This window comes from Homo sapiens, chromosome 11, assembly GCF_000001405.40.
Source record: "Homo sapiens chromosome 11, GRCh38.p14 Primary Assembly".
In the NCBI taxonomy this organism is placed as follows: domain Eukaryota; kingdom Metazoa; phylum Chordata; class Mammalia; order Primates; family Hominidae; genus Homo; species Homo sapiens.
Genome location: NC_000011.10, coordinates 132,647,610 through 132,662,789, shown reverse-complemented (window position 1 = coordinate 132,662,789; position 15,180 = coordinate 132,647,610). Strand labels below are relative to the sequence as shown.

Below are 15,180 nucleotides of genomic sequence, written 5' to 3'. Positions count from 1 at the left end.
ATTGTAAAGTTAGACACAATTTTCGGACATGCATCTTATTGCACCCAACTTTAGAGTTATAAACATTCAACCATTCAACGTCTGGCATGAGGCCATGGAAGGGCATTTCTTGGGAATTCTGTTCCAAATATATCCACAGTTCCCATGATACACTCTCCATTCCTTACCTTCTTTTATTTTATCCAGGTATCCTTCTGAAACAAATATATCTAGACATACATACTTTATTTGTCTCTCACTAGGTGTAGTTTCATAGGGCAGGAACTTTGTCGGCCTGTTCCTACTGTGTTCTCAGCTCCTAGGAAGTTATCTCATGCACCTTAGGCACTCACTCCATATCTGTTGAATGAATCTTGGCACTTTTTTTTTTTTTTTTTGCATTTTCAAAGACAAAATATAAAAACAAAAGTAAAGAACACAAAAAAGTTAAAGCCAATTGATTTTAATTTTCAGTGATTATTTTGATTAAAATTCCAACCTGTCACTTGCCTCATTTCTTTAAGGCAGTGAGTGGTTCTCCAGGAGGAGTCCCCAGAGCCGCAGTATCCGGGAACTTGTTGAAAATGCACATTCTTGGTCCCTCCAGACCCATGAACCAAAAGCTCTTTGGGGGCTGGCTTCAGCAATCTGTTTTTGATGCACAGAAAAGGTTGAAAACCACTGCTTTAAGGCATGGATTTCCCTAAGTTCACCTCTTCCTCTGAAAACAAAACAAAACGACCCTGAATCTTAACCCCACGGTACATATTCAGAAACATCTCTGCCTTCTGATGTCTGTCAGGCATTTCTTTGCTCTTCCAGACTCTCATTTATACCTTCTTTCCTCACACATGGCTAGAGGTTAAGAATGTGTACAAGTGTCTTCCAGATAGCTTTCCTTTTTTCTTATCTGTGCCTTGGGTTCCTCATCTGTAAAATGTGGATATAATATTAATAGAACACATCTCAAAGGGTAGTTATTAGGATAGAATGATTTGATATATTGAAAGTTCTTACAACTATGCCTGGTGCAGTACAAGCAATATATAATTTTAGAGGTTACTTGTGATGTAGTTGTAATGAGTTCTGTTTTATCAAGGATCAGTAGGTAGGGTTAGCTTGGAATGTAAGAATTTTAAATATCTGAAATAATTTCCAAGACATCAGAAAGTTGTCATTAGCCTTCCTCAACTTGCCTCTTGGCTCCCCCTTATTTAACTTCAAAAGTGTTCCCCTCTGTGCTTCTTGTTAATGAGAGTCCAGGACACGGCCACAGACAGCAGGGAAGGAGCCTGAGTTTAGAAGAGCACTCAAGCCAACTTTTTAAGTCCTTCCCTGAGTTCTCTTTCCTGCTGTTCAGGGGACTATGGAAGAGTCCTATGGTGATGGAAGAAAGCATGAAGCCATGAAACTACATTTTCTTTTGAAGCAGAGCAACATCATGAGGAAAATAACTTTCCTCAACTGATTTCATTGTTTCCCTCAGTTTCTCTGTTGTTAGGTTCTGAGAACCATACAAACTTGTGAACCATCTTTGCCCATTTAGAGAGATGGCTTTTACTCAGTTACTCTTTTCTGTTTCTACTCCAGGCCCATAAGGAGGCCCAGGTCCAAGAGCAAGTACACCGGATCATGGCTACTCACCAGGGAGAGGATTACCCAAGGGACACACAGGCTTTCCAAGGGCTGTGTGGCTAGGGCAATGACAGTGTGTTCTGGCCCACAGAGTAGTTTTGGATTGCCCTTTTTCAAAGTCCACCCTTACTCAAGCCTGTGGCCACTTGCACTGGTTCTATGCACCCTCAACCTGAAGTGGTTGGTCCTATACAAGGACAACGATAGGATTCAGGAAATGCACTTCAAAGATCTCAAATTCCCTAAAGTTGATCTGCTTGAGTAAGTGCCTGAGGTTGCAGTGTAATTCTGTGTCTCCCTTCTGACAGCTCCCACTTCACACTTCGTCCAGGAGATAAACTTCTTTGGCTTTCTTTGTCACCTCCATCAGCCGACTGTCATGGAGCAGGGTATCAGTCTTGAAGGAGACTCCCACAGAAGCAAAGCAGGGCACTAAAGGCAATGGCACCTGATTGCATCAGGAACAGATTCATGGCAAACTAGTGCATTCTCCATTTAGAATTAGAACTTGGAGATGAGACATGTCCTAACAGAGGGCTCGGTGATTTAGCATATTAAAATAAACAGTATTTGTATTTTCCCAACATTTCTGAGTGTATTGGGTTAAACAAGGCACTTCCAGTAAAAGAATAACATCTTTTTGCAGCCATCTGATAAGGCCTGGTAAAATGGTATCATATACTTTCCAGATACTGAGAAATTGAATGAATTTGATGCCATGTTATAAACCCCTTTGCGAGTCAGGTATTTTCCAATTCATTGCATTAAAATAAATTGAAAGAGGAATTAATTGATTTGTCAGCTGCGAGATCATTGAAATTATCTTTGAAGCTATATTACTATGTGATTTTTGGCATATATCTTGGAAAGCATTCAAATAATTGAGTTGGCATTGCTATGCACAATTTTCATTTCCATCTTCTTATGTGAACAAGGTTTCTCTAAAAGCAAAAGTAGGAATAGAATTGATCCTGAACTCCATCTCATTCTAGCAGTGAGTGATATTTATCTACGGCATTTAAAAAAAGGGGCCTATCCCTCTTATTAAAAGCTATATTTCTAGTAAGTTTGCTTTTTCATGTTTAATTATTGCTTAACGAAATGTGCTCTATATTTATGTTCTATCAATTTTATATTTGTAATGATCATTCATTTAAGAAATATATTATTGCTTAAAGTTTTATGGTCATAGGACATAAAAGAAATTTAAATTTCAATCTCTGTATATTTTTGGTTGCAAATAAATATGGTAGGTGATCAATAAAAGACCTTCAAGCATAAAGTACATTTTTCTGCAGAAGATATATAGTGGAAAAACAAGTTCCAGTTTAAAAAGGAACAATGCACGTGTTATGACTTTTAGAAAAAGAGTTAGTTCCTGAATTTTGAAAGCAGATAATCAGGAGTGTTAATCACTGTGATATTTAAATTCTACTGAACAAATACACACACACACACACACACACACACAGGAATTTTGTGACTTAAAAAAATTTTTAAATGTGAATATGTTCTAAAGGCCAAAAAAATCATCCTTTTCAATTGTAGCTTACAATTTTTTATGGCAACTTAAGAATGTGCAAGGGGTTACATAACTAAGCAAAATTAAAGCAATATTTGTTTGCACTTAGTCACTTGGGTTGTGTGGTGACTAGAAGACCACACAACTAGAAGCGACTGGAACATCACGCCCTTCACTCTGTCTCAATTTAGCATCTAATTCCAGGTGTGCTGATTTTTGGAATTCTACTATTTGAACTTTCTTTAGGAGGAGCTCTTCAAACAGGGATTTCTCCTTTATGAAAATTCACCTATCCTTAGGAAAGGTTGCATATTTCCCCTTATCAGTCATTTGCAACTGAGAATGAATAAATTTATCATATTTTTTCCCCAAGAAAAGCCTTTGAAAGTGGGGAGCAGGGAGGATCCATTAACGTTTAAGATCCATTAGGTCTTCATAAGGGAAATAGAAAAATGCTATGGAAGTAAGAAAGCAACAGGAAAAGAAGCAAGATGCCTCACGATGTGGAGGAGATAACATGACTTCATTTTTTCTTTATACCAATGACATTTCTATAATGATGTGAAAGAATCATTCGATGGTACCTAGATTATCAGGTCCTACTGGTGAATGCAGTTGGGCCCTGGAAACTCGCTTACCTAGAAAGTATGCAGATTGAGGTCTGTAACTGCTGGTGTGCAAGGGATGCCTGTGGTCAAATAAAAAAAAATAGTTTCATTGGAATGTTAGAGTATGATTCTATTTCAGGTGAAAGCAAATCAGCACAAGCTTCATACAAGTTCATGCATGTGTATAAGGAGTAAGATGTAGACTGAGATATAACAAGTTGCTAGCAAATCACCATGGGGTGCTGGGCATTGGTGAGGAGTGAATGGTTAGATGGGTCTGTATCATCTTAGTGTTATTTACATGCATTATTCACTTTGTATTGTTCACATGCTTATTTAGAAAAGAACAATGTCTTCCTGCAATATTGTGAGAGTGCCTAACACCCTCCCTACCCAACTTCTCAGCGGCTAAAGGGCAGATGGGCCAGCTCATAAAAAGGCCTGGGTGACCGGAAGCTGGTATTGCTTTTATTCTTCCTACCAACCAGGGAGAGGACCGCCCTAGATCAGGTGCTTTCCCCATTCTAGAGGGTCATGGTTCTGGTGCTTGGAGACCCTGAGCCATGCAGGCCAGGTGAGACTGGTCACTTGGCCAGGTCCTGACATCTCCACTGTGGCCAGTGTCTCTGGGGTCCTTCCATCTCCTGAGACCTGCCTGAAGGATCACTGCTGCCACCCAAGTGTTAGGTCAGATCCAGTGAGGGAAGGCCATGCCTATTCCCCGTGTTCTCCTCACCTGCAGGTGCTGGACTCAAGTCCCTCCTCTCTCTGCCAGGACATTGGCAAGAGTGGTTGTCCTTGTGCATTCCTATGTGCAGCATGGAGTGATGGGTGTGCCTCCACACTTAGAAAGCATTCTGTTTCCTCATGCTTCCATTCCCACGTCCTCAGTTCCTGGGCACATGCGCAGACGTCCAACACTTTCAGTCCTATATCAGACCTGACAGCCTGCAGGTCATCCACACTGACACACAGGCCTTGTTTGTGTTCATAGCTTTGAATTGTTAAGGAGAGTAGGTGAGAGGTGTTGCACAGTTCCCTGCTTTGATAATAGCCTTGTTCTGTCTCCCAATGGGACAGGGAGTGTATGAGGAACAGGGATTCTGCTGATAATTTTCTTTTTCCTCTCCTGAAGTCCTAAGATGCAGTTTTGACTTCCTCAAGAAGTGTTGGCTTTCTAAGGTGAATTTTACCAACCTATGTTATAAATTGTAGTTTGCAGGCTTTCGGCTGCTTAGGGGTATAAGGAGATTACCAACACCAGGGAGGTCTGGAGGTAAATATGTTCAATTTTTGATTAACTACAAGTTAAGTATTTGCTTTGTGGGTTATCTGTGACCTATTTGAAATGCTGATCCACTCTCTCTCCCATGTGCCCCTGGGCCACTTCTTCCCCAAGGTGGTAAATGTGCTCAAGAAACATAAACTGATTTTCATATAAGCCTATGGGGAAAAAAATAACAGGGAAAGCAAATGGATGGCAAAGATACATAATATGTCTCGAAGTCAAATAGAAATGATTTTGTATTGTCAGTTCTTCAAGATGATTCTGGTCACTCTTAGTTTATATTTAGGAAGTTTCATCAATAATTGTTTCCTTTTAGCACTGTGTTTTGTTGTTTCATTTACTCCTCAAAATGCAACGTCTTATTTACCATATTATATAATCTCTCCACTCTCTCTCTTTCCCTTCTTCCTCCCTCCACCACTCCCTGCCTCACTGCAGGTGTACCATAGATGACCGGGTAACCCGGGTGGCCTGGCTAAACCGCAGCACCATCCTCTACGCTGGGAATGACAAGTGGTCCATAGACCCTCGTGTGATCATCCTGGTCAATACACCAACCCAGTACAGCATCATGATCCAAAATGTGGATGTGTATGACGAAGGTCCGTACACCTGCTCTGTGCAGACAGACAATCATCCCAAAACGTCCCGGGTTCACCTAATAGTGCAAGGTAAGTCCCAGCTGGATCTGGGGTTGCCATTCCCGTCAGTGATGGAGGGGAAGAACAGTGTTGGTGTTTGTTCTACCTGTGTGCGAAGACACAAAAGTCATCTTCCTCTACTGAATTCAGAGTTTGACTATATGTCTTGGAATGTTTCCCATCGAATGGGTACTTAACTAAGTGCTGAATATCTTCTCAAAGTTTCTAAATGTTATCTCTAGTCCTTCTGTTCTCATCAATACGTTGTGTAACATGCACTCGTATTGAGCTCTCGTAAGTTACTTAGCACTCTGGAGCTGGAGTGAGATACATGCAAACATAGATAAATACAGTACTACTCTCAGTGCCTTTTAATTCTCTTATAGGCTTATTTCATGATAAAAGACGAATAATGCCAATGAGAAACTACGTGACATGACTGTTTTCGCACAGTTGCTGGTCATGCATGCTCTGGAGGGGTCTCTGAGTGCTGTTTAGGCAGGTCCTCCCTGGCATTGCTGCTGTCTTTAAACACTCTCTCATAGCCAGACAATGAAGTCCAGATCCAAGAGGGATATTAGTCAGAATGATATCTGCAGGTTAATGTTAGTAATAAATTCAGACAATTTTAAAAAGGGAGAAGGAGGAAGGAAGACTTAGCATCTTCTTCCATTCTCCTTTAAAAACTTGAATCGACATAGCCCAGGAATTGTGTCACGTGCATTTTAAAATAGTTTTTAATTTAAATTTCATATTACACCTCAAAAATGGGGCTGAAGAAATGTCAGATTCTCAGATATTAAATATTAAGAATTAAAAACACATGCAGATAGCAGTTCCAAGAATTTGAGAACCATTTTAAAGCAAGGCAGCAATCCAAATGAACTTATTTTGAACTTGACCCCAACTATCATCACCATGTAAAGCCATTTCTGTCAGGTGTTGGCTCACGGCAGGAATGAAGTTGTAAGCACATTAGTTCCGTCAGCCAGTGATGCATCCTTCCTCCACCAAATGAAAGGTTCGGGTGGACTTCTTTCAGAGCCTCGTTTGCAGATATCTTGAGGAAACACAGTGAGCTCTCAGAAAGGGTCCCTATGTGTGATTTAGTCTTTAGCATCTGCCTTTTATCAGATCCCATCTGTCATAGATCCAACAGAATTTTTTTTTTTTTTTTAGTTTGTGAAATGTGTATGGCATCCTTGCTTAGCTAAGATAGATTCCTCATCTCTGATTTAAAAAAAAAAAAAAAAAGGACCACGATGTTGCTCATTTCAATTGGTTTCCTAGAGAGAGGTTGCGTGGGGGCTGTCTATTCATGCTTCAGTCACTTGCATGATTCAGGTTGCCCATTCTTTCCTTTTGGCGCAAGCAGCCAGGCCTGCCTCTGTAGCCATTTGTAATGGCATGTGTGGGGCCAGAGAGCTGTCTGCTGTCACTGCTGTTCCCCAGCAGTCCTTGGCACTGCCATGCTGCCTGAAGCTTTGCTCCTGCCCAGCCTCCAAGCCCTGCTCCCCTCCTCGCGTGCTTTCAGGCGTTCACACACGCCATCCGACAGACATCTACAGATGCTGCGGGTTTCCACTCTCCATACACGTCCACCCACAGCTCTGGAGTGACAAGACTGCCTGCCATCTGGAGATCAAGACAACTGTCACATCTGATACTTCTCCTCAGAGGACGACAGAGGCACTTGGTGAGATCAGTCATCGGAGATGAGCTGGGCTATCTGTTGAACGTTTCTGAGGGTGTAGAAAACAAAAGACTGTGAGCTCTCACTACCCCACCTGCCTGCACCTGGGCTTGGTTCCAGAGGAGCTGACATTCTCGGCATCGGAAGTGCCACCTCAGTGGCACCTCTGTGGCCTTGACAGCAAAGTTATTTTCAAATTCAGGAAATGTGGCACCGAAATAAAAAAGAACTGTCAGGCACTGTAGAGAAACAGACTCAAACAGAGCAAGCCTATCCCTTTTCAAGAACGAAGATAGATGATATAAGCAAATCAAAGTCAATGCACAACATAATGGGCTGGGGGCTGAGCAACAGAGAAGGATGTTCTCCATAACACATGCTGAGCGATCCCTTGGGTGGGATGTGGCAGCCTGTGGGGTCTCCCTGTGGACCTCCAAGCTTCAGGTCAGAAAAAGTCTAAGGACAGCATGGCATCTATTTCAGAGGTCAGCTCCTCAGTCTCCGCATTCCAGGCCAAGCTACTCTCTGGCTCCAGCCCTCTGAGGTGGCCTGGGAAGTCCAGAGGCAGTCAGGATGGGTGGGGGTGGGAGGGGAGGATATTCTTTTGGGGAGGAGCTTCTCTTGGGGAAGAGCTTCTCTTGGGGATGATGTTCTCTTGGGGAGGAGCTTATCTTGGGGAGGAGCGTCTCTTGGGGAAGAGCTTCTCTTGGGGAAGATCTTCTTTTGGGGATGACATTCCTTTGGGGAGGACATTCTCTTGGGGAAGATCTTCTCTTGGAGATGATGTTCTCTTGGGGAGGAGCTTCTCTTGGGGAGGAGCTTCTCTTGAGGAGGAGCTTCTCTTGGGGATGATGTTCTTTTGGGGAGGACCTTCTCTTGGGGAGGAGCTTCTCTTGGGGAGGAGCTTCTCTTGGGGAAGAGCTTCTCTTGGGGAGGAGCTTCCCTTGGGGAAGTGCTTCTCTTGGGGAAGATCTTCTTTTGGGGATGACATTCCTTTGGGGAGGACATTCTCTTGGGGAGGATCTTCTCTTGGGGAGGAGTTTCTCTTGATGATGACGTTCTCTTGGGGAGAAGCTTCTCTTTGGGAAGATCTTCTCTTCGGGAGGACATTCTCTTGGGATCCTTGGCAGGCTGGTTTGTACCTTTACTGAGAGGCCACAGAGAAGGAGATCAGAAAGCTGAATTATTTCCTCTTGCTTAGTGATCCAGTGACTTGCTCTTTCTTTGGAAGACAGTTGAATTACCAGAGGGTGGATGTAGAGACCCCACTACTCAGTTAGAAAGAAGCCCCAGAGTTCTTCTCCCAGCAGCATCAGCTTTTGTCCAGTCTATAGATTAATTTTTCAGACATAGTGTTAGTTCAGGTTAGATAAAGATAATGAAAGTTTCCTAATCCTCTTAAAGAAAATTTATCTGACTGAGTAGAAAGCTTTTGGAAGACAATAAGGCATGTATAAAACTGAGGCCTAATCTTGCCTTTAATTTCAAACTGCTGATGGGTATTGATTTTGCAATGAGAGAAAACAGAAAAATTTCCGAGCTGCCACTTGTCTGTTTATAAAAACAAAAGGTGTTTATGTATCTTCTGTCCATTTGAGAAGGTGGGTATCTCATTTCTTCTGCCAACCAGATGCCATCAGCAGAAGGGAGTGCACGCCTAAGGGACTCAGCTTTATCCCTCCTGCCATGGGAGCGCCTGAGAGACACTCTGCCACCAACTTTCCTGCCTGCCCTTTCCTGTTGTAGAAGGCAGCCTTTGCCACATATCTGATGGAACTAATTTCCAAATCCTTCTCATTGAGAACAGAAGCTGCCTTCATTAAAATCGTGTCACTGATACCTGAGGTACATCTCAGCCACTGAGGGGATCAGCACAGGCACCGTGTGAGCATGTGATAATGTGATCTAGGCTGCACACCTCAGTGTGGAGGAAATCCGGAGCAAGGGGGATGCTCAGCTGTGGGGTCGGATTAGTTGGGGGGAAAATCAGCCTGGCAGCCCCGCAGAGCAGGAGCTAAAGCGGGAGAAGCTGGAGGCACAAGCGCAGGCAGGAGTGACTCCCATCCCCGCTAAGCAGTGCAGCCAGGGTGACCGTGGGCCTACCTGAAAAGATCCAGAGGTGCCTGAGAGGCACTGTCCACAGGAAACTGAGAGCATTCATCCTCATACCTGGAAAGAGGAAGAATTAAAATGATATCACCCAGATTTTTTAGTTTGGAGAAATGCTAGTGATTGGGGAGATACGATCCTATGCCACTCGGAAAGAACAGCTTTGGGCTTACGAGGTCTAGAGATAAACAACACACAAACATTACACAGATGTTGCAGAACTAGGGAACAGGTGTAACCTAACACCAGAAAGGGCATATTTGAGATTCAGCATGAATTTCCTGGCTGGAGAGTAGGTAAATGTTCTGAGGTTAACTATTCGTAGATAACAGTAAGAATCATAATTTATTTATATCCAACCTCAGCACTTAGCACACCGTCTGAGGCACAGTAGGCACTCAGCAAATGTTTGTACAATGAGCAGAAGCAGATTGATGTTGCTACTGGAGTGGCATAGGAACACAGCGATCATAAAGCATCTTCCTGCAGATACAGGTGGCAGGGAAGTCAGACTATGTCCAGATGACTCGGAGAGGACAGTCATGGAGGAAAGGTCCCTGAGGGGAGAGGGTCCTCGATGTGACAAGCTAAGAGATTGTTCTAAAAGGATAACACAAATTCCAGGCATTTATTTAGTACTTTACAGAGATGGCACAGTGTTTGTCACCTTTGACTCACACAACAAGCCCTGGGAGGCTGTAGTGCAGTGACCGTTATCTCCATTTACAAATTAGGTAACTGCAGCTCATGGAGGTTAAGAGCCTGGCTGAGTCCCCAGTGAGTAAGTAGCAGAGCTGGGTCTTGAACCATGGCCACAGGACTTTCAGAGTAGTGTCTTTTCAGCATTCTGCAGTCCCTCCAATGCCAACAACATCCAAAGTTAGTTCTCTGCTCTAGATCAATGGAACATTTTCAGGATTTCTCTCTCTGTGTGTGTGTGTGTGTGTGTGTGTGTGTGTGTGTGTTTGTCATTCTTCCTTCTATTGATATTGCATTGTAGCAACAGAAATTGAGGACAAAGCTCAAGAAAGAAAATTAGTGGTGGGAGTGGGACACCAAAGCTACAATAAATGATGTAGAGAGGCTGTGAGGGGGGCAAAGAGAGGATAATTAATTTTCTAGTAGCTCATCCCTTCAGGGATATGCATTTTAAATGTTACCACTTTATCCTATGTAAGTACTGAAAACCCTGGACCCTCTGTGGATCCAGAATCTCATTGTCATTCTAACTGTCATGAGCTCTTCAGCACTCTGAAAGAATGCAGAGATCTATGTGTGCCAGTGGTATGTCATTGTCGTTGTTTGTTGGAGATAGATGGAGTAAGAAGATCCGTCTATGGTTGCTTTTTGGATGTAGGTATTCTCTACCTGCTTTCCTGCCTTGTTCAGAAATCTCTTCACTACAGGTTACTTCCTTTTATGGAATGAACTCCTCTTGCTAAGCCCAATTTTATGCAAAGGGCTGGAAATGATGAATTTTATTAAATTCTTACATAGGAGGCTCCACAGCAAGCTTATGCAATTTCTATGTAAACAAAAGACTCTACATCTCTTAGCCTGGTGTCAGTTCAGGTGAAATTGGTTGGTATCTGAAGTTGAGTTTTGCTTGTAAAGAAAAATGTGTTCCCAGCCCTGCCAGTCCTAGATATTGCTGATCACCAACCAACCTCAGCATTGGGTGCACTAAGTATAAACGTTATCTCAGCCGTTCCTTACATCTATCCACTCTACAGAATATCCACCCTAGTCATGTTTACAAATAAGGAAATGGAGGCTTAGAAAGATTAACAACTTACCCAACGCTGATGCAGCTGCCGCGTGCTTTAAATCCCCTTCACTAGACTTACTCATCGAGGTTAAGCTTTTCTCACGAGAAAAAAAGTTATCAAAATACAAACAGTTAACAAGGTACTTTATATGCATTATCTCTTTTGATTATGCTTCCCAAAAGCCCCACATGACAGAATAGAAAGGCACACCTTTCCAAGACCAGAAAGTGAGATTCAGAGACTTGGAAGTGATTTGTCCGAGTTACACTAGCGAGGAAGTGGCAAAGCAACACCCAAGACCGGGTATATTTACTCTGTAGCCACCAGAGTGTTCAACACACCACTGACTCAGAGTTAAATACGTAGACAGGTACTTGTTCTTATGTGAGAAAAATGTCAACCTTCAGAGGTGCTCCAGAAAAGGGTGGGCCCTGAGGTGACAATTCTGGGGTTGGGGCAGCAGGTGGATGCTGGGATTGCACCAAGGAGCGGTTGCAGCAGGCCCAGGGAGGCAGAGCCATAGGTCACAATTTTGCCAGGGATTTCCCTATTTTCAACTCTTTGTAAGCAATCTCTTTTTTTAGGCTATTTTCTCCTCTTTTCCTAAATATTACCCAAACATTTAAATGAACATGTGTGCTTATAGACTTAAAGAAAAGCAGGCAGTTAACCTGAAATAAATTTAATGTATTCAACCGCTACTTAAAATTGTAATCACATTTACTCTTCACAAAGACAGGATAGAAGAGTGGAAAACAACAGGACAGGCCAGCAGAATGCTCACTCCTCAGCCCTGCGCTCGGCTCCTAAAAGTGCAGGCCTGCATCTCCAAGACGTTCCTCTCCTGGCTTATTAACATGGGGTGAAGAGTAGAATTCAGAGTAATTTATTTATGTGCACATATGCATACTTTAATCCCATGTGTGGCTGTGTGTGTTTTTTTTGTGTGTGTATGTGTGTGTGTGTGTGTATGTCAATTGGAAATAAGATTCTGAGAAGGGGTCTCTAAGCTGCAAATTCTGTATATTAGTGCAGATAAAGCACACAGCCAAAATTAGGTTAAGGACTTTTCTGGGCGTCATGTCCTTGACTTTGCAATGGAAAGGTTGAACTGATGATATGAAAGTCCTTTCTAGTTATTCTGTGTGACAACTTGTCAGTGTAATTCATCTGGGAATTTGTGTGTGACCAGGAGTCTCTGCACTCTGTGTCTCTCCTACTTTCACCCGCCGATGGCACAATTACTAGGTTGGTGTGAAAGTAATCGCAGTCTTTTGCCATTGTTCCTACTATTTCTTATTTGTATTTTTCTCCAGAGGCTTTAGGATTTAGTGTCCCTTACTAACACTGCTAGTTAGGGGTGACTGTAAACCTTGTTGTTCACTTTTTGGTTAGAGAAGGTGGAAGAGAAAGATACCATTTGCTTCCAAGTTCTTCTCTAACATTTGTAACCTCCACAACCCACGTCAAGCGGACACATATTTAATGGACAGTGGGGTGGAATTCCAGAGGCCACAGAGGAAAGAGCCATACAACCTATAAAAACTGTGTGAGTGTGTGCATGTGACTGCAGAAGAAACAGACATGAAAACTGTGTGTGTGTGTGTGTGTGTGTGTAACAGTGCGTGTATGTGTGAGGGCATTCGTGAGTGTGAGTGTGTACGTGGTACCTCTGTATGTCTTAGTTCCTAAGCAGAGCAGAACAACCAACATATTTCTCCTCACAACAATGGGAGAAGAGACCTGATCAATGGAGAAATCATCAAACATCAAGCATATATATGTATACGAGTATATAAAGATACACATATATATGCTTGGATATACACATATACATGTTCAATGTTTGAGGTGTATATATGTATATGTGTATACATACACATGCTTTATGGAAGAGTTAGGCTAACTAAGAAGGCAACTACAACACAGAAGGAATCAAGAATGAAGTTACTGTCCAGAATACCCTCTATAACACATAAAGGAAGGGATCTCAAGTCTCCCTTCACTGGGAGGGTGTCCCCACACCACCTTCTGCACCTGCCCCGCCCCCTGCGCTCAGGGTTAGAGCAAGGCCACACTCACCCCACCATGCCGTGGTCCTATCCCGGCTCTCAGACTACTGTGTTTCTCAGATATTAACGAATATGACACCTTGCGTAGCCAGAGTATAATTGACGTTGACCTTCACGCGTCTCCTAGATTGTGACCTTTCATGACATTGTGTGTGGTTGGTGACAACACAGTTCACAACACAGTTTATAAAAAAAGAAAAAAAAACAGATTTCTCCTTGTATCAGGCCTTTTCTCCCACTGTTGTGAAGATACATGTGGGGCTTTGTTCTGCTTTGCTTTGCAACTAAGACACACACAGACACCACGTACACATACACACACTCACAGACATACTCACGCACTCACACATACACACACTCTTACACGCACACAGTTTTCATGGGTTTTGTCTGTTTCTTCTGTACTCCACACACACGCTCACACAGTTTTTATAGGGTTTATGGCTATTTCCTCCGTGGCCTCTGGAATTCCATCCCATTACCCACAAATATGTAGGCTAAGCCTCTGTCTAGGAGACGAGAGGGGGAAGGACACACTCCATTTCTCCTCGGACACTTATAGTCTATTTAATTATAAAAATAGGAGGAGTCGGTATTTTCTAAGGTGAGTGAGACCAAAAAAAAATGTGACTCTGGATGAATACATTGTCAGAACAAATCACGGGTGGACCCTGGCAAGAGGCAGCACTTCCGCTTGAGAGTCCTGGCTGGGAAAAAGGCAGAGAAACTCCTTGATATGATCCAAGAAGAGGCTGCCAGTCCTGGCACCTGGTTTGATGATGATTTTTACAGTAGCCAGAAAAAATTAGCTGGGCATGGTGGCGTGCGCCCGTAGTCCCAGCTACTCAGGAGGCTGAAGCAGGGAGGCGGAGGTTGCAGTGAGCCAAGATCACACCCCTGCACTCCAGCCTGGGTGACAGAGCAAGACTCTGTCTGAAAAAAAAAAAAAAAAGACAGAGAGAAGTGTCAGGGCCTGGGGCTGTCATCTGCCTTATTTGCAATAGAATTAAATAAACGGAACAGTCGTAATGCCTGTTCTCAAAATCATCACTGATGTGGAGATGGAAGGAAAATGAAATGCCTGTTATGTTCTGCTGAATTTGCATGGTGATCTCAGCTTATTTCCGAAGAGACCTGTCTGCCAATACCTCCAGTAAATAGGTCTTTTCCCACACGTTCCTGCTGCTGTGAGCAGGGGAGCAATCACACCTCAGAAGAAGGACAAATTAGTAAATGTTCATAAACTCTCCTGATAGATTAATGTCCACCATGACCCTCATATAGTGAGGATCTTACATAAGGTTTCAAGCCTCACCACCCGCAAGATTAGTCAGTCACTGTTTAGCATCCAAGTAAACTGTGAATTCAGAATAGTGATGTCTTTCTACACATAGCAGGTGTACACAGATTTGGAGAGTCTCACTTGCATTTCCGAACCTGGTTTTGAGCTCCTAGTTAACAAGTATTACCCTCAAACATAGTGCCTTGACGAAAGTAACTGTTGTCCCTATTCTTATTCTGGCTTCTCAAGAAGTCTTTTACTCTTCGTTCACTAAATTTCTCCTCTATAGGCATAGAAATTGAAGAGCAATAGAAGTGAAGCAAAATAATCACCAGGAAAACAGTCAATAATCTTTTTCAGTAATTATAAACAATGGTTATCATCTGCTGAGTACGGTTGACCCTTGAACCATATGAGTCTGAACCATGCAGTTCCACTTATATGTGAATTTTCTTCCATCCCTGCCACTCCTGAGACCGCAAGACCTACCCCTCCTCTTCCTCCTCCTCCTCAGCCTACTCAACATTAAGACAATAATGATGAAGACCTTTATGACGATCCACTTGCACTTAATGAACAGTA

At 42.9% G+C, this 15,180-nt stretch overlaps 1 protein-coding gene across 8 annotated transcripts in view; it reads left to right on the top strand.

Annotated features, from left to right (window-relative positions):
* OPCML (opioid binding protein/cell adhesion molecule like) overlaps positions 1–15,180 on the top strand; it is a 1,117,521-nt gene that overhangs the window by 869,712 nt on the left and 232,629 nt on the right. For all 8 annotated transcript variants that reach the window (NM_001319104.4, XM_006718846.4, NM_001012393.5 and 5 more), the window contains one exon: positions 5,471–5,703. In NM_001319104.4, the coding sequence (NP_001306033.1) occupies positions 5,604–5,703 (100 nt within the window). In that variant the 5' untranslated portion in view covers positions 5,471–5,603. The remainder of the gene's footprint in view (positions 1–5,470; positions 5,704–15,180) is intronic.